Raw genomic sequence first — 20,162 nt, forward strand, 5'->3', positions numbered from 1 at the left:
TTAATCCTCACTCCCTACCTTGAGGATTTATGGGAGGAGATGGTAGGATTAGCTAGACAGGGATGTAGGGGAGAATGGGTACCCCACTGGGGACGTCTAGCTCAAGGGTGCTCAGAGACACAGCCACAAGCTTGGTCACTGCTTATGACCTTCAGAACTTACGTCAAGTTGGTGACCAGGCAGAAGCGGAATGTGTCATGTAGTTGACTGCCTTTGTAGAGTGTGGTGACCTAGAAAGATGGGTAGGGAGAGTGGGTGAGATGGAGGCCTCTTGGGGGTGGAGGGGCCGCTGATGCCAGTGGAAAAAAACACAGGACTTGGAGCAAAGGGGACCAGAGTTCAAATCCTAACTCTGTTCCTAAAGCACTGTATGACCCTAGGCACACCACGCCCCTTTCTGAGCCTCAGTTTGCCCATCTGTGAAATGGGAATGGTAGTCAAGAGAGTACTTTTGGAAACTGAGAGAGAACCCAGAATACATAGTGAAGTGAAGCATTTAAAGTGATCACTTAACAGAGAAATCAGGTAGAAGAGGGAGAGAAGCACACAGGACAGAGAAGACGGGAGGGGTGAGAGATGCCCCACCTTGTCCTGGATGTCCCTCAGCAGGGTGATGTACTCTGAGGATGTGGGGTCTGGATTACTGAGGTTCCAGTTGACAATGTGGAAATTTATCTGGTACTCGCCCCGGATTGATAAATTCTGGGGTGCATAGCCTGGAGCCACAGAGAAGAAGAAAAGGCAACATATGGTGGGGAAATGTTGATCACAAAATGCAGAGCCAAAGTTGCCCAGCAGTCCCCTGCCTACTGTCAGAATCAATTTCAGGTCCACACGCTGGGCATTGCAGGAGCTCTTAGACAGAAAGTTGCCCCAAAGAGAGGGAAAAATGGAATATTACACAGATTCTTCTGAGCTGAGCTTTCCTGCATGTGCTATGCAGTTCCCACTTCTAGGAATGCATCCTTTTCATTTCCTGCAAAACTCCTGCTCACGCTTCAAGAGCCCAGTGAGAGGGAGCTCCAGGACAGCAGAGGCCCAAGTCTGTCTTATTCATTATTGTGTCCCGGCACAGGGCCGGGTATATAACACCCTCCTCCAGGAAGCCCTCCTTAATTTACTCCTCCTCTCAGCTCCCATAGTACCCTGTTAATAACAGCAGTGGGGTCTTTGTTGTGCCCGTAATTTGTTGTTAACTTGAGTATGAGTTTTTCAGAGACAGAAAAATGTGTCTTCTATCTCCAGACCCAGTACAAGGCTTGGGGCAGAACAGCCACCCATATATGTTTGCTGAATGAATGAATTAATGAATGTGAGTTACAGCAGAGACACAAATCTTTAATTTGCTCACTCATTCAATGATTCTTTCCATACTATGATGTGCTGATGTACTGCGAACCGAGGGTACAGTGGCACTCATAATAGACCGTAATTTTGTTGAGTTCACAGGGTAAGGGGGAATCAGATAATTTAACAAGTAATTACAGTAAAGTGTGATAAATGTCAGCCTTGTGCCCACCTAAGAACTTTGAGACCATGTACAACAGGATTTCTCACCCTTGAAATTATTGGCATTTGGGGCTGGATCATTCCCTGGGGTGGTTGTCTCCTGTGCACTGGAAAATGGGCTACCGACCCACTAGGTGCCAGTTGCACCCTCCTTCCCTCCCTGAGTTGTGATACCCAAAAATGATTTCGGATATTGCCTAGAGTCTCCCAGTTGGGGGGTGGGGTGGGGCAGAAGTGCAGAATTGTCCCCTGGTAATAACCACTGACACAGAGGATCCTTATATAGAAGGGACCTGCTATCCTGTCCCAAAGGATGCCACGACTCAGCCACTTGGGTTTTGAATTGAAATTCATTATGGATGTACCTGGGGGGGGTTCATTATGCTAAGTGAAATATACCAGATAGAGAGAAACAAATACTGCATGATCTCACTTATATGTGGGATCAGAAGTCAAACTTACAGAAGCAGAGAGTAGCATGATGGTTATCAGGGGCTGGGGGCATGGGGGTGGTGATAGAGAAAATGGGGAGATGTTGGTCACAAAATACAAACTTTTAGTTACAAGATGAATAAGTTCTGGGGATCGAGTATAAAGCTTGATGATTATAGTTAATAATACTGTATTGTAAACCTGAAATTTTCTATGAGGGTAGACCTTAAATGTTCTCTTTCTCTCTAACTCACACAGACGCACACAGACACACGGTAACTATGTGACATGAAAGCAGTGTTAACTAATTTGATCATGGTAATCATTTCATAAGCTACACATATATTAAATCACTGCATTATACATCTTAAATACATACAATTGTATTTGATAGTTATACCGCAACCAAGTTGGAAACAAAAGTGAAGGAGAAAGAGACAAACAATTTATGACATTAATTTGGTCAAAGAATTTCATGCTATTTACTCAAAATAATGGGAAAGACCCTCCCCTTGGTGGTTTGGGGAAGGGTGTCCCCCAGCCAGGCCTTGGGCTATTTTTTTTAGAGAGGAAAGGGCATACAACAGGGACAAATAATAGTCATGGTGGGCCGGGCATGGTGGCTCATGCCTGTAATCCTGGCACTTTGGGAGGCCAAGGCAGGTGGATCACCTGAGGTCAGGAGTTCGAGACCAGCCTGGGCAACATGGTGAAACCCCATCTCTACTAAAAATACAAAAATTAGCTGAGCGTGGTGGCATGCACCTGTAAATCCCAGCTACTTGGGAGGCTGAGGCAGGAGAATCACTGTTGCAGAGCCAAGATTGCACCATTGCACTCCAGCCTGGGTGATAGAGTGAGACTCCATCTCAAAAACAAAGAAACCAACTCCCCAAAAGTCACTGTAAATCCAAGTTCAGCCTGACACTCACCATTGATGAAGAGGCTATCCCTGTCCAGGACATAGAAGCCCAGTTGGGTGACACCATGGGTCAGCTGACTCAGCTCCCAGTAAAGCTGCTGTATGTCCAGCCCGGGGCCCACAGGGTCAGGGTGGTAGGTGCAGGTGGTGTCCACACCAGTGGCTGCCCCATCCTTCTCAGGCCTGGGGAGAGAGGCATTTGAGGACTCTAGAGAGGTCCCGAGACCTCTGCAGGTAAAGAGCAGTGGAGGGAGGAGCAGGGGAAAGCTGAGGAAGGGGTGGTCACAAAAGGGGTGGTTGTTACTGGCAAATGGCCAGGAAGTGGTCTCACCTGAGGGAGATCAGTTGGCAACCCAAGTAGAAGGGGCCCATGCTGCTCTTCTGGAACAAGGGTCTGAGCTTGAGAGGAAGGAGGAAGAGGGTAAGCCGAGGAACAGAGGTTGGGGGTAGGATTTATCCCACCAGGAGCTGCTGGGACCAGGGTCTCACCAGGTGCTGAAGGACCCCCTCGGTGGAGTTGAATGTAGCTGAGCCCTTGCCCATATCTGGTGAATACTGGAGATTGGAGATGGTGAAGTTGAGTGTGAGGGTCTTCAGGTGGTACCCCATGGCTGCAGGAGGGGAGGAGAGACGTCTGCAACTGAGGGCTGGTCTGAGACTAGATCAGACTGCGCTCATTATTAACTAGTGTGGCCATCCAAGTCAGAAGCTATGTGTCTTCTCCCCTCCAAGTAACACCAATTCTCTTTACTGAATATTCATCACATATATCCTCTCTCTCCTCCCCTATCCCAGTTCAGGTCTTATTTTCTCTCACCCTGATTAGCACCTGGCAGACTCACTGGATGCCCTGTCTAAAGGACATTCTCTATACTGAACACAAGAAGAATCTTTCTGAAATGACAATCTCACTATGGCTGCCCCTGCTCTAGTACCATCCACAGCTCCCTATGGCCTTCAGTGTTAAGTTCAAATTTCTTGACTTGGCATTCAAGGCCCTTCCCAATCTGGCTCCTGCTGACCTTTCAGTCTCACTTATCCATCCACTCTGGGTTAAGCTTTATGTTTCATGCAAACCAAATTTCTCTCACTTCTCCCTATACTCTATGCTGTTTCTGGCCACTGAGGCTTTGCTCACAGATTCCCCTCTTTCAGTTATACTATTCATGCCCTATTTGCCTGAATCACTCTTAGTCATCCTTAAAGACTCAGTTCAGGTGAAACTTTCTCCAGAAAGCCCTCCTCCTTCCCAACTATGCCAGGTATCTCACCCCAAAACATCTGACATTATGATGGTCTATTTATTTCATAAAATCTGGGACTCCACGAGGGCAGGTGTCTGATTGAAATGCTATTCTAATCTTCGAGGAGGAAAAATGGCCCCAAATACCTGTTGTGGCTTCTGACAGAGGAGGCAGGAATGTGGTGGCTGGCTTGGGAGCTGTGGAAGGAACAGTCCATCAGAGAGGACAAAAGCCCACCACCTAGTGGGAGAAGCTCCCCTGGGCTTCATCAGTGGTCCAAGCCAGGACAACCATTCACAGGTGGGCCATAAATGAGACTGAGGGAAGGAGTGATTGTGTGAGTGGAGGAGTGAGCAAGATGGATGGATGGATGGATGGATAAAAGGACAGGTGGAAGGAAGGACAAGCAGGTGAATGGGCAAGAGGATGAGTGGGTGGATGGGCAGATGGATGAATGGATGGAAGGACAGAAGGAAGGAAAGACAAGCAGATGAATAGGCAGGAGGATGGATGGAGAGATGGAGGGATGGTTGGAAGGACAGAAGGAAGGACAAACAGGTGAATGGGGAAAAGGATAGATGGATGGATGATGGATGGATGGATGGTTGGAAGGACAGAAAGAAGGACAAACAGGTGAATGGGGAGAAGGATAGATGGATGGATGGATGGGTGGATGGATGGATAAAAGGACAGATGGAAGGAAGGACAATTGAGTGAATGGGGAGGAGAATGGGGGGAGAGATGGCTGGCTGGATAGATGGATGGATGGAAAGACAGAAATAAGGAAACAGGTGAATGAAGAGGAGAATGAATGGAGAGATGGGTGGATGGTTGGAAGGACAGAAGGAAAGACAAACCAGTGAATAGGGAGAAGGATGGATGGATGGATGGTGGATGGATGGAGAGATGGATAAAAGACAGATAGAAGGAAGGACAAGCAGGTGAATGGGCAGGAAGATGGGTGGATGGATGGATGGAAGGACAGAAGGAAGGAGGGGCTAGCGAGTGAGTGGGCAGAAGGATGGGTGGGTGGTGGATGAGTGGATGGGTGGATGGATGGATGGATGGATGGATGGATGTATAGAAGGACAGAAGAAAGGAGGGACAAGCAGGTGAATGGGCAGGAGGATGGGTGATGGATGAATAGATGGATAAAAGGACAGATGGAAGGAAGGACGAGGAGGTAAATGGTCAGGAAAATGGGGTGGATGGATGGATGGGTAAATGGATGGACGGATGGATGGATGGAAGGACAGGTGGTGTCTGAGAGATGACTGGAAGGATAGAAAAATGGATGGCTGGAAAGATAGACGAGTGGATCACTGGATGAGGCAATGGGCAAATTTAGCCAAAACCAGTAGCCAGCAGAGTCTGCAGCTTGACCATGAAGCCTCTGCTGGGGCACTTGGAGGAGATTTTCTTATCAGGAGGTACAGACTAACAAGGTCATCATCTGACCTCAACCTCTATCCCTGTAGGGAATGCTTGTTCAAACTTCTTCCTCCAACCCAGAGGGACATGGAAAATTCACAAAGCCAAGACTATGGCTGCAGGTCTAAAAACAGGCCAAGGACTCAGCATTCTTCCTCCCACTGAGACAATGCCCCTCACCACCTCAGGGGACCAGCCCGAATTTGGGGCAACCTTCCTTCATGAATGAGGAGAAAAGCTTGAACCAAGACCCATGGAGATTGAAATGGGCACTAGATTCAAAGACACGTACTTGTAGGAGGCTCATCTGGACCAGGTTCATTGTAACCTTGAAACAAAGAAGTCACACGTAAGAGGAGGTGGTGGAACCGTCCCAGATACTCCATGCCTTTGTCCATATGGGGCCCCTGCCTGGATGCCTTTCCCTTTGTGTATCTAGAGATTATGGATACATTTATGTATCATCTAATATTTGACTTAAATGTGTTCACCACTAGAAAGAATTTCCTGATATTTCAATTAGCACTGACCCTTCCCTACTCACGTCTCCAGCATGCCTCCAATGAGAGGCTCTCACTACCTTTGTGTTCACAAGTCTATCCTCCTATCCATCCATAACCCCCGCCTCCCCTTCCAGGCCTCCTCCAATCTATTCCTCCACCCAATGAATGTTTATTAAGGGCTTAGTATGTGCAAGGCTCCCTTTACATTTGGGGAATATAGGGTAGAACAAAACAGTCTCCGCCCCCCTGGAGATTACATTAGGACAGGATGCACATGTAACCTATCTCTGTTCCTGGGGCGAGGCACATTGTGGCCTGGTTAATAGTAGCTGCTTGGTAAATCTAAATGAAGGAACAAAATGAAGCACATAAGCTGTGCAGTTTACAAGGGGGAACAGCTCCCTGCAATAGCCAAGTTGAAGGGACTGGATGTTAACTGAGATCATCAAGACCCAACCCGCACCTGTGTGTTTATCACAGCACTATTCACAATAGCAGAGATGTGGAATCAACCTATATGTCCATCAGCAGATGAATCCATAAAGAAAGTGTGGTATATATGCACAATGGAACACTATTCAGCCATAAAGAGAAATAAAACCATGCTGCTGAGGTTGCAGATAAAAAGGAGTGTTTATACACTGTTGGTGGGAGTGTAAATTAGTTCATCCACTGTAGAAAGCAGCAGGATGATTCCTCAAAGAGCTAAAAACAGAACTACCGTCTGACCCAGCAATCTCATCACTGCATATATGCCCAAAGGCATATAAATTTTTCTATCATAAAGACACCTGTTCACTGAAGCACTATTCACAATAGCAAAGACATGGAATCTACTTAAATGCCCATCAAGGATAGACTGGATAAAGAAAATGAGGAACATATACACCATGGAATACTATGCAGCTATAAAAAAGAATGAGATCATGTCCGTTGCAGGAACATGGTTGGAGCTGGAGGTCATTATCCTTACCAAACTAATGCAGGAACAGAAAACCAAATACTGCCTCTTCTCACTTATAAGTGGGAGCTAAATGATGAGAACACATGGACACATAGAGGGGAACAACACACACTGGGGCCTGCCTGAGGTTGGAGGGTGGCGGGTGGCGGGTGGAGGGTGGGAGGAGGGAGAGGATCAGAAAAAATAACTAATGGGTACTAGGCTTAATACTTGGGTGGTGATGAAATAATCTGTACAACAAACCCCTGTGACATGAGTTTAACCATATAGAAAATCTGCACGTGTATGTCTGAACTTAAAAGTTAGAAAAAAAGAATGAATCCATGTCTTTTGCAGCAACATGGATGAAACTGAAGTTACCTTAAGTGAAACAAGTCAGACACAGACAGACAAATATCACATGTTCTCAATCATAAGTGGGAGCTAAACAATGTGTAGACAAGAACTCAGAGAGGGGAATGATAGATAAAGGGGGCTTGGAAGGGTGAGGGGGTAGGAGCAAGGTGGATGATGAGAAAGGACTAAATGGATACAATGTATGTTATTGGAGTGGTGGATACTCTGAAAGCTCTGACTTCACTACTGTGCCATCTATGCATGTAACAAAATTGCACTTGTACCCCATAACTGTATACATACAACGATGATCATGAGGAGGATAGTAATAATAATAATAAAGAACATCAAGACCCAGACTAGCCAAAAACTCGCTGTGGGCATGGGCAAGTCCCTTCCCTTCTCTGTGCCTCAGTTTCCCTCTTTGCTAAAATAAGAGTAATGAAAGCCCAGGATGTCTCTCCACATCCCGGTACCTACCTAAAGGTACCTCATATAAGTGATATGGGGTGCCCACCTCATGGGGTCATGATGATAAGCACTGTTCTTGGGTTGGCGGTGGAGGGGATGAAAGGCGAGCTATTTTGTCAATTCTCCACGGTCATGCTTTGCCTCTCAGAACCCCATTTAGGGGATGCCTTCTTAAATGCTATCTTATCCTGAGTTCTAGACCAATGCTGAGGCCCAGTGTGCCTGAAGATTAGATCCCATAGATCTTCCTGGTATAGGGGGCCTCAGGTAGGAGAGAAGCCCATCCCTCGTCAATGGTGAGAAGAAAGCAGGGAGGGGAAATTGTTTTGTTTTGTTTTGAGACAGAGTCTTGCTCTGTCACCAGGCTGGAGTGCAATGGCACAATTTTGGCTCACTGCAACCTCTGCCTTCTGGGTTCAAGCGATTCTCCTGCCTCAGCCTCCCGAGTAGGTGGGACTACAGGCGTGCGCCACCACACCCAGCTAATTTTTGTATTTTTAGTAGAGACAGGGTTTCACTATGTTGTCCAGGGTGGTCTCAATCTCTTGACCTTGTGATCCGCCCGCCTTGGCCTCCCAAAGTGCTGGGATTACAGGTGTGAGCCACTGCTCACAGCCGGAAATGTGTTTTTTGTCCCCCAAGTGCCCCCACCAGGAAGACTCTTCTGTGAGTTAAACATGTGGAGTGGATCATAGCACCGAATGCTGACAAGTGGAGTTCATATCCTGGTTCCACCACTGTCAAGGTAAATTGCTTAGCCTGTCTAAGCCTCAGTTTCTTCATCTGTAAAATGGGATTAATCAAAGTCCAACCTTGCATTGTGGTTATGGGAGGGCCAGTGGTAATGCCAAGACTTGAACCCCAAGTCTTTCCCTAGAGAACCGGCAAACAGACACCCTCCTGGACTGCAGTGGGGGCTGGGGGGTGGGGCAGGGAGATGGGGCTGATAGCTGCTCACCGTTAAGGTAGAGGCTGTCTTTGTCCAGAGAGTAGGGGCCCAGCCGGGTGATGCCATGGGTCTGCTGGCTCAGCTCATGGAACACCTGCTTGATAGGCAGACCTGGGCCGCTGAGGGGCTGCAGGTAGGTGCAGAGGAGGTCCACCCGTGTCTCAGCACCGTTCTTCACAGACCTGAGGAGGGAGAGGTGCAGCTTTGGGGGATGAAGGCCACCTAGCACCTCTCCACTTGTGGTCACTGCACAACTCACAGTCCATATTTTGGTCTCATTGACAGTTTGCACTTTCTCCACCTGACCTTATCTATCATCTCAGGATCTTTGCAATTGCTGTTACTTTTGTCTGGAAGCTTCTCCCCATTTCTCCTTACCTGGATAACTTCCTGGTCATCCTCCAGGTCTCAGCTTAGAGGACTCCCTCCTCCTCCTCCTCCTCCTCTTCCTCCTCCTCTTCCTCCTCCTCTTCCTCCTCCTATCTTCCTAGGCAAGGTCAGGAGCCTCCTCTGGGTCCCACAATCCTCCACTCTTCCCCTGTCACTGCCCTGGTCACCCTCTATGTAATCATAAATTATTTGTTCCTGTTCCTACCAGAACATGGTCTCCACGAAGGAGGAAATGAACCAGTTTAGCTTACTCTTATTATATTGAAGCCCCAGAACCCAGCACCCCTTGACAACTCCCTGCAAAAATCAAAGTCCTAATGAATGGAGAAACACAATACAGCATTTACATACAAGTGGAAAAGGAAGGGAATTCTGACACATGCTACAACATGGATGAACTTTGAGGACATTATGCTTGGTGAAATAAGCCAGCCATACAGTATAAACCAGGACATATACCATATGATTCCTCCATTCATAGGAGGTCCTCAGAATCATCAGATTCACAGAGACAGAAAGTAGAATGGTGGGTGCCAGAGGCTTGAGGAGGGGGATGAGGAATGAGTGTTTCATGGGGATGGAGTTTCAGTTTGGGAAGATGAGAAAGTTCTGGAGATGGATGATAGTGGTGATGGTTGCACAATAATGTGAATGTGCTTGATGCCACTGAACGGGAAATATAGCTAAAATGATCAATTTAATGTGATGTGTATGTTACCACAATATAGAAAAAAAAAATCCAAGCCAGGTGCAGTGGCTCACACCTATAATCCCAGCACTTTGGGAGGCCGAGGCGGTCGGATCACCTGAGGTCGGGAGTTCGAGACCAGCCTGACCAACATGGAGAAGCCCCATTTCTACTAAAAATACAAAATTAGCCAGGTGTGGTGGCACATGCCTGTAACCCCAGCTACTCGGGAGGCTGAGGCAGAGGAATCGTTTGAACCCAGGAGGCGGAGGTTGTGGTGAGCCGAGATCATGCCTGGGCAACAAGAACAAAGCTGTCTTAAAAAAAAAAATCCAAGTCCTCCAAGGCCCTTCAAACTTGCTGATGTCTTGAGTCTCATCCTTTCTCTCTTTTCTTCTTGCTCTCTCTCTGCTCCAGCCACACTGGCCTCTTTGCTGTTCATAGAACATGCCAAGCTCATTTGCACCTCAAGACCTTTTCTCATGCTGTTCTCCCTGCCTGGAACAGTTTTCATGGCCATTTGGGACACAGCCCAAGATTCATCCTGGGTAAAGTTGCTCTACCCATCACTTGCTATTTATTTATGTTTCATATCACTTTACTCCATTTGAAGCCATTTTACTTAGATATTTATGTTCCTGTTTAGCATCTGTTCTTCTCCACTGGGTGAGGGCAGGGACAGCATCTGTCTTATCACTCTAGTACCCAGCACCTGCCTCAGAGGAGCGGTGCCATGGGCATCAGTTGACTAAAAATATAAATGGAGAAGTAAATAGTAAATACCAAGAGAGTGCAAACTGACCCAAAGAAGTCAAGTTGGCAAGGATGCAAGAAAAGGAACTCTTATACATGGTTGGTGGGAATGGTAGAGGAGTGGTGTTATGGGCATGGGTTGAGTAAAAATATAAATGGAGAAGTATCTAGTAAATACCATGAGAGTGCAAACCAACCCAGAAAACTCAAGTTGGCAAGGATGCACTGAAAGGAAACCTTTTTTTTTTTTTTTTTTTTTGAGATGGAGTCTCGCTCTGTCGCCTAGGTTGAAGTGTGCAGTGGTGCGATCTCAGCTCACTGCAAGCCCCGCCTTCAGGGTTCATGCCATTCTCCTGCCTCAGCCTCTCCAGTAGCTGGGACTACAGGCACCCGCCACCACGCCCGGCTAATTTTTTGCATTTTTAGTAGAGACGGGGTTTCACCATGTTAGCCAGGGTGGTCTCGATCTCCTGACCTCATGATCCACCCACCTGGGCCTCGCAAAGTGCTGGGATTACAGGCATAAGCCACCATGCCCGGCCTAGGAAACTCTTATACACTGTTGGTGGGAATGTAAATTAGTACAACCTCAAATGAAAAACAGTATGGAGATTTCTCAAAAAACAAAAAAAAAAAATCAGAACTACCATTTGACCCAGCAATCCCACTGTTGGGGATCTACCCAATGGAAAAGTATTAGAAATAAATAGTGGTGATGGCTGTATGACATTGTGAATATAATCAATGTCACTGAATTGTACATTTAAAAATGGTTAAAATGGCAGATTTTATGTTACATGTATTTTTGCCACAATATAAAAAAAATGTGATCTTAAATAGATGCAGAAAAGGACCCTCTGAGAATAGCTCAACCCATATATATCTAAAAGAAATGAGGCCATGTGTGGTGGTTCATGCCTGTAAAATCCCAGCACTTCAGGAGGCTGAGGCAGGTGGATCACTTGAGGCCAGGAATTTGAGACCAGCCTGGCCAACATGGCAAAACCCCGTCTCTACTAAAAATGCAAAAAAATTTAGCCTGGTGTGGTGTTGGGCGCCTGTAATCCTTGCTACCTGGGAGGCTGAGGCACGAGAATCGCTTGAACCCGGGAGGCACAGGTTGTGGTGAGTGAAGATTGCACCACTGCACTTCAGCCTGGGCAGCAAGAGCAAAACTCCCTGGGAGGTTGAGGCACGAGAATCGCTTGAACTCAGGAGGCAGAGTTTGCAGTGAGCCAAGATTGCACCACTGTACTCCAGCTTGAGCGACAGAGTCAGACTCTGTCTCAGAAAAAAAAAAAAGAGAAGAAAGAAAGAAATGAAACCAGTATCTTAAAGAGATATCTGCACTCCTATGTTCATTGCAGCACTATTCAAAATAGCCAAGATATGGAAACAAGCTAAATGACCTTCAATGGATGAATGGGTAAAGAAAATGTGGCATACACATATACAATGAAATATATAAGAAAGATGAAAATCCTGCCACTTGGGATAACATAGATGGAGCTGGAGGACATTAGGCTAAGTGAAATAAGCCAGGCACAGAAAGACAAATACCGCATAATCTAACTTATAGGTGGAATCTAAAATTGTCAGACTCATAGAAGCAGAGAGTAGGATGGTGGTTGCCAGGGGCTGGGAGGAGGAGCAAATGGGGTGATGCTGGTCAAAGGGTACAAACATGATAACTATGTAGAGATAATAGATATATTAATTAGCTGAAATGTGGCCATGATTTAACAATGTATACCAAAATATCAAGTTGTACACTTTAAATGCAAGCAATTTTTATATGTCAAAAATCAAACTGTCATGAATAAATAAAAAAGTTATTAATACCAGTCAGAATAACTATTACTAAAAAGACAAAAACCAACCAACCAACCAAACAAACAACAAACAACCAGATGCTGGCAAGAATAAAAGAAAAGGGAACTCTTATACACTGTTGGTGGGAATCCAAATTAGTACAATCTATGGAAAATGGTATGAGGATTTCTCAAAGAACAAAAATGTAGAACTACCATTTGACCCAGCAATCCCACTATTGGGGATCTACCCAATAAAAGAAATCGTTATATCAAAAAAAAAGAAAGAAAAAAAGAAATCATTATATAAAAAAGACACCTGCACGTGTATGTTTATTGCAGCACTATTCACAGCAAAGGTATGGACCCAACCTAAGTGTCCATCAGTAGAAGACTGGATAAAGAAAATGTGGTATATATATATACCACGAAATACTATTCAGCCATAAAAAGAGTGAAATCATGTATTTTGCAGCAACATGGATGGAATGGGAGTCCATTATCTTAAGTGAAACTCAGAAATAGTCAAATACCGCATGCTCTCACTTATAAGTGGGAGCCAATGGACTCCATGTCCATTAGCTCATGGTGGAATACCATACGTTCTCACTTATACGTGAGAGCATGGACCTGGAGTGTGGAATAATAGACACTGGATACTCAGAAAGGTGGGAGAGTGGGAGAAGGGTGGGGAACCTCACTTAATAAGTACAATGTACACTATTCGGGTGATACACCAGAAGCTACTGTCTGGAAGTCTACTGTCTGCAGACTTCACTATGGAATATATGCATGTAACAAAAACTGCATTTGCACTCCTTAAATTCATTTAAAAAAAAAGAATGGGGCCAGATATGGTGGCTCACGCCTGTAATCCCAGCACTTTGGGAGGCTGAGGAGGGTGGATCACCTGAAGTCAGGAGTTCAAGACCAGCCTGATCAACATGGAGACACCCCATCTCTACTAAAAATACAAAACAATTAGCCAGGCATGGTGGTGCCTGCCTGTAATCCCAGCTACTGGGGAGGCTGAGGCAGGATAATCACTTGAACCCGGGAGGCAGAGGTTGCAGTGAGCCAAGATCGTGCCATTGCACTCTAGCCTGGGCAACGAGAGCGAAACTTCATCTCAAAAAAAAAAAAAGGAAAGATAAAAAGATTTAAAAAAATATGTAGCCCACCCCAACCCAAGAGGGACCTCCCAGTCAGAACTCTAAGTTCTTGGTGGTGCGCTGTGGGTGGGGGAGTTTCTCACCTTAGTGCGATGACCCTGCAGCCTGTGTACCGTGCACCCAGGCTGCTCCTCTGGAACAAAGGACTGAGCTGCAGAGGGAGAAGGGAGCTTGGGTTGGTCAGAGGCAGGCAGGCAACAGCCCTAGGATGGGCATGGCAGGGCTGCAGCGGGAGGCAGGCCTCTCACCAGGTGCTGCATGACGTTGTCTGTGATGTTGAACTTGAGGGAGCCGGGTTGGCCCATGTCCGCCATGTAGCGCAGGTTGTTGATGGTGAAGTTCAGTGTGAATGGCTCCTCGCTGACCACCCCGGCTAGGGCAGGGGGAAGAGAGAGAGAGATGAAGCTCTTGGGGAGGATGATGGGTGGGTGGGGGGTGGTGTGGGACAGGGTGGGGGCAGTGTGTTCTAAGGACCCTGTGTCCGCCTCTTAATAAACCCAACGGTGACTTTTAATGGAGACAACTCCAGCAGCCAGTAAGGGTGTGCTTAATGATTTGGGATGTCCAGATGGGGTCCTTCTACCCAAATGCAGGAAGGGAAGATTCTGTAAAAAGTACCAATGGTTCTGATCTTTCCCAGGGTAAAGGCTGCATATTACCACACTGATGCGGAAGTCATGACTCTAGACATTTTTAAAAAATTTATTCTCTCTCTCTCTCTTCCTCTCTCCCCATCGATCCTTCTCTGCCTTTCTCCCATTTCTCTCTCTCTCCTGCACTCACAACCAGGTATGCTAATCTTCTATGCATTGGTTAACATGGCCAACAATCTTTGCAGCCATAACCAACCTCTCAGCACTTCAGTTTACTCATCTGTAAAATGAGATGACAATGGTTCACAATGATGTTTCCTGCCTCAACCGTTGTTATGAAGCTTAAACAAGTTAATCATTGTAAATCATGTAAGCACTGCTGGGCACACAGGTCAATATGGTGTACATGTTTATTATATAAAATATATCAGCAAATGCTTTCTAATCACTCCCTGTGTGTGGAACTTTATGAAAGTATGAGTTAAGGTTTTTTTTTTTGTTTTGGTTTGGTTTTGTTTTTTGTTTTTGTTTTTTTGTTTTGTTTTTGTTTGAGACAGAGTCTCACTTTGTCGCCCAGGCTAGAGTGCAGTGGTGTGATCTTGGCTCACTGCAAGCTCTGCCTCCCAGGTTTTATGCCATTCTCCTGCCTCAGCCTCCTGAGTAGCTGGGACCACAGGCATGCACCACCACACCTGACTAAATTTTTTTTGTATTTTTAGTAGAGACAGGGTTTCACCGTGTTAGCCAGGATGGTCTTGATCTCCTGACCTCATGATCCACCCGCCTCGGCCTCCCAAAGTGCTGGGATTACAGGCGTGAACCACAGTGTCCAGCCAAGCTAAGGTTTAAGACAAATCTCTAGAAGAAAAGTTTACTTCTCCTTCTCTCCCTGCCTTTCTTCTTTTCACCACTCTTGAACTTCCTTCTGTTCATTCTTCCTTCTCTCTTTCCATCCTTTCTTCTTCCCTTCCATCTTTCATTCTATTAATGCATCCTTTCTTTCTTGCTGGCTTCCTTCCTTTCATTGTACCTTCTAACATCTGTCTATCCTTCCTCTTCCTTCTCTCACTTCTTTCCTTCCTTTCACCCATCCATCCATTTATCCATCCATCCATCCATCCATCCATTCACTTATCCATCCATCTATCCATCCATCCACCTACCCACCCATCTGTCCATCCATCCATCCATCCACCTACCCATTTATCCATCCATCCATCTATCCACCCACCCATCTGTTCATCCATCTGTCCATCCATCCATTCATCCCTTCACCCACTCACCCACTGATCCATTCATCCATCCATCATCAATCTTTCCTTTCTTACACCTCTCTTTTCTTCCTTCCATCTACTTATCCATCTTTCCTCCTCCTTTTTTCTTTCATCCATTTTTTTCTTTCTTCAATCCACTCATCCATCCTCTCTCCCTTCCTCCTTCCATTTATCACTTCTTCTTTCCATCTGTCACTTCTTCCTTCCATCTATCCACCTTGCCTTCCTTCCATATATACAGTATTGGTCCTACACCGCTCCAGGAACATTGGAAGGGGAGCAGGGGGGCGGGGTACAGAAATACTCTGGCCCTTCCATAGCCCCGCCCACCATTGTCCCACCAATGCCTCCTATTGGCTGAACCTAACAGGAAGCTAGTTAGCATGGGAGCCTGGGAAATGTAGTTTTCATGAGTCAGACGTCTATCCCACAGAGCACGGGAAGGCTGGAGGAGGTTGGAGAATGGATCCGAGGACAAAAACAAAACAAAACAAAACAAAACAAAACAAAAACCCATATGTGGTATAATAGAGAAAGCCCATAAGAAGTCACATTCCTATAAAAGAGAAGCAGACAACAGAATATAAACAAATGAGTTCAAAAAAGTGGGAGAAGTATTGTGAAGGATTAACAGAAAAAAAAAACCCCAGGATCTCATTTGGAAGTAGGAGTGAGACAAATTCGTATAAGAAATTGACTTTTCCTTCACAGTCAGTAGAGTAAACAGACAACCCACAGAGTGGGAGAAAATCTTCACAATCTATATATCCAACAAAGGACTAATATCTAGAATCTACAACGAACTCAAACAAATTGGCAAGAAAAAAACAATCCCATCAAAAAGTGGGCTAAGGACATAAATAGACAGTTGTTGAAAGAATATATACAAATGGCTAATGAACATATGAAAAAAATGTTCAACATCACTAATGACCAGGGAAATCAAAACCATAAGGTGATACCACCTTACTTCTGCAAGAATTGCCACAATCAAAACATCAAAAAATAACAGATGTGTGACTCTGGGGGCCAAGATGGTCGACTATAAGCAGCAGCGCTCAGAGGCTCACATTGAAAAAAACTGTAATAAGTGTGTGATCCTTCCTGGCAACCAAAATGTCCAGGTTCCCTCATCAAAATTGACTAGAAGGCTGGCAGTGACCCACAGAGAGAAGGAAGAGCAGTGTGGTGTGGTGGCCCACCTGAGAGACACACGGGGAAGGGGAACCCCCTCCTTCCAGCCAAGGGAGGTGGTGAGTGAGCGGGCTACCCAAGAGGGGGAAACTGTGCTTTTTCCACGGAACTGTGCAACTCACAGATTGGAAGATCTCACTCGCGAACCCATGCCACTGGGACCTAGTGTCCCAACCCCAGAACACGCAGATTCTTACAGCTGGAATCTGCCTAAGCCTACGGAACTCCCCGGGGGAGGGGCGACCAGCACTGGCTGCGGCTGCCTGCTAAGTCTTTTTTGTTCCTTGGGGAAGGGGCGACAGCCAGCACTGGACTCACAACTGCCTAACACGCTAAGCTCCCTGGGCGGGGGAAGGGCGGCACCCCTTTCAATAGCTCCAGGCTGTACTTTTCCCCTGCTAGAGCCGGGTAGGCTGGACGGCTTGGTCCCAAGACTTGTCCCCACAGCCCAACACACCGGCTGTGGCAGTCTGCAGCCAGAGTGCCTCTTCAGGGCTAACCCTGACCCATCCTTCCTCAGTGGGCAGAGCTTCCTTGCAGGATCTCCAAAGACTCCAGCCAGAGGCTCAGAGACAGAATTTGGACTCCCTGGGCTTGGGCCCCTAGTGGGAGGGATGGCTGTAGTCTCTGTGGACCAGCAGACTTAGCCTCTCCTCTGGTAGTTCTGAGGAATCCAAGCAGCCCAGACATGTGGTTTCCCCCCAGTGAAGAACCCCCTCTCCACCAGGGGACAAAGTGCTTCATTAAATGGGTCCTGCTCTCCATGCCAGTCAACTGGGCGAAACCCTCCAACAATAGTTGTCAGACACCCTACACAGGAGCGATCCTACTGGCATCAGGTTGGTGTCCCTCGAGGTCAGAGGTCCCAGAAGAAGCAGGCACCTATGTTCGCTGCTCTCCAAGCCTCCTTGAGTGACACCTCCAGACATGGGAGCGAATCAGATGAATAGGGCCTGAAGTGAACCCCTAGCAAACTGCAGCAGCCCTACAGAAGAGGGACCTGACTATTGAAAGAAAAACAAGCAGAAAGTGACAATAACATCATCATCATCAACAACAACAACCAAAAGACCCCCATAAAAACCCCATCCAAGGATCAGCAGCCTCAAAGCCTGAAACTAAAACTCCTGAAGATGGGAAATAATCAACAAAAAAATGCTGAAAACCCAAAAGGCCAGAGTGCCTCTTTTCCTCCAAATGACCGCAACATCTCTCCATTAAGGGTGCAGAACTGGATGGAGGATCAGATGGATGAATTGACAGAAGTAGGCTTCAGAAGATGGGCAATAAAAAAGTACGATGAGCTAAAGGAGCATGTTCTAATGCAATGCAAAGCTAAGCACCTTGATGAAAGGTTAAAGGAATTGCTAACTAGAATAACCAGTTTAGAGAGGAACATAAACCAACCGATGGAGCTGAAAAACACAGCACAAAAACTTCGTGAAGCATACATAAGTATCAACAGCCAAATCGACCAAGTGGAAGAAAGGATATCAGCAATGACCAAGCTGAGCCTGAGCTGAGCCTTCTAGGAAAACCAAAGAGCCAACTACACATCATCAAGGAACCTAACTCTCTTGAATTCTGTCCCATAATCCTGAGTCAGCTCCAATTGAATTGGTAGCGACTGAATTTTTTTTTTTTGGTAACCATTCTGAAGCTGTTTTGAACTGAGAGAAAATGAATGCTATTATCAATTGGTGATGTCTGCCATGAATGCTGCAATCAATTAATGATGTCTGTCATGGATGAGGGAGTGGAGCAGATGCCATATAGTTTTCCAGTGTAAACTCTGGCAGACACTAAAGTTGAACCAAGGCAGAAGAGGAAAGTTTCCATACATTATAAGAAAGCATACTTCATTCCTTCCTTCCCTGGGAAAATCCATATTTTCCTGTAGATCTAAATCTGTCGATCTACCATGTACAAGGTCCTGAAGCAGATACTAGGGAAGCACAAGGGAGTAAGACACAGTTGCTCCAATCAGCAGGTTTATGCACTATTGGGGTGACTGGATATAAACACAATGTTCAAAGCAGAGAAACTGTGTTTGCAATTGACTTAAAAAATATGCAATAGGACTTAAAGTGAGTGACAAAATAAAAGGTTCCCATGATTCTTCTGCCTATAATAATTCAAGATTTTTTTTAGAAATCATATTAAATAGTACTAGTTAAACACTGAGCATAGCACTTTGGTGCATATTCAGTAGCCAATAAGTTCATATATTATCCATTAACTTTGTTATCACCACCACCATCATAATCATCACCATCCCTGTCACCATCACCATCATTATTGTCATAATCACCACCATCATTACCAACATCACCATCATCATCATTACCATCATCACCACCACCATCACCATTGTCATCATGGTCATAATCACCATCAACATCATCATCATTGCCACCATCAGTATCATCATAAAAATAGCTCTCTGAGAGGAGAGATTATTAATTGTTTCATGATCCATGCCATATCCCCAGGATTTGGCAGAGCCCCAGGGCTTGTCACAATGCTCAATAAAGTTTGTTGGTTGGCTCATCATCACTAGATTTATAAAGAATTTCCATCTTTATTTGACTGAATAATGGAAGAGATGTTTACACTCATCAGCCATGCTCTAACAGAGGTGCCATTGGCTGGTACTTATTCAAGGGACCAGTAGAAGGGGTGGATCCCCAGAGTTTCCCAGGTCCACTGTGGTAGTCCCAAGAGCTACAGAGAAACCCTCTTCAGGGGAAGCATCCAAGCCTCTCATGGCAGAAAGGTCAGCAAATAAAACTATTTACAGGCCTTGCTGCATATCGGGCCTGAGCTGGGTCTCTCTCTGGAGCTGGCCAGAAGGGAAAGGGAATAACTTGTGCCCTCCCAGCCCCTTCCTTTATGAAGAGGACATAGGGGCATAGGAAGACAGGACAGCTCCTGCCCTGCTTGGTGTATAATTGGGGCTACTGGAGCATCGGTTGAATACTCACTGCTGGTGGTGGGTACAGAGCTCCGATGGGTGAAACCTGCACAGAGAAGGAGGGAGGAGAGTGGGTAAGGGTTAAGGGAGAGGTGGGGAATCAAATAGGGGTCACAGATACCCTAGTGGAATGGAAGAAGTTTCAAGGAACAGGGGCCTTTGAAGATTCTCTATCAGTACCCTCAGATCAGGGAAGAAGGTACTGAGGATGAACTCAGTCCAAGATGAAGAAACTATGAAGTTCAGACATCAGTCATCACATACAGACAACATAGCCAAGACGTCAATGGCCAGTCAGGGAGTGTGACCTCAAGTCAGAGAGTAAGAAGCTGTCCAGCAAAGAGGAAGAATCTCCAACCACATCACAGCCGCTCACCATTGACATAGAGACTGTCCCTGTCCAGTGTGTAGGGGCCCAGCTCAGTGATGCTGTGGGTCAGCTGGCTCAGCTCCAAATACAGCTGCTCTCTGTCCAGCCCAGGGCCTGTGGGGTCAGGGCGGTGGGTGCAGATGGCATCCACTCCGGTGGCTTCCCCATCTTTCTCTGGCCTA

At 46.2% G+C, this 20,162-nt stretch overlaps 1 protein-coding gene across 4 annotated transcripts in view; it reads right to left on the reverse strand.

Annotated features, from left to right (window-relative positions):
- Window positions 1-20,162, reverse strand: part of MUC16 (mucin 16, cell surface associated) — a gene marked incomplete in the record, with an annotated part of 216,908 nt that overhangs the window by 13,867 nt on the left and 182,879 nt on the right. For all 4 annotated transcript variants that reach the window (NM_001414686.1, NM_001401501.2, NM_001414687.1 and 1 more), the window contains 12 exon segments: window positions 163-230; window positions 586-716; window positions 2,874-3,046; window positions 3,195-3,262; window positions 3,353-3,474; window positions 4,254-4,304; window positions 5,831-5,866; window positions 8,771-8,943; window positions 13,659-13,726; window positions 13,824-13,948; window positions 19,621-19,656; window positions 19,987-20,159. In NM_001414686.1, the coding sequence (NP_001401615.1) occupies window positions 163-230; window positions 586-716; window positions 2,874-3,046; window positions 3,195-3,262; window positions 3,353-3,474; window positions 4,254-4,304; window positions 5,831-5,866; window positions 8,771-8,943; window positions 13,659-13,726; window positions 13,824-13,948; window positions 19,621-19,656; window positions 19,987-20,159 (1,224 nt within the window).

Source organism: Homo sapiens, chromosome 19 (assembly GCF_000001405.40).
Source record: "Homo sapiens chromosome 19, GRCh38.p14 Primary Assembly".
In the NCBI taxonomy this organism is placed as follows: Eukaryota; Metazoa; Chordata; class Mammalia; order Primates; family Hominidae; genus Homo; species Homo sapiens.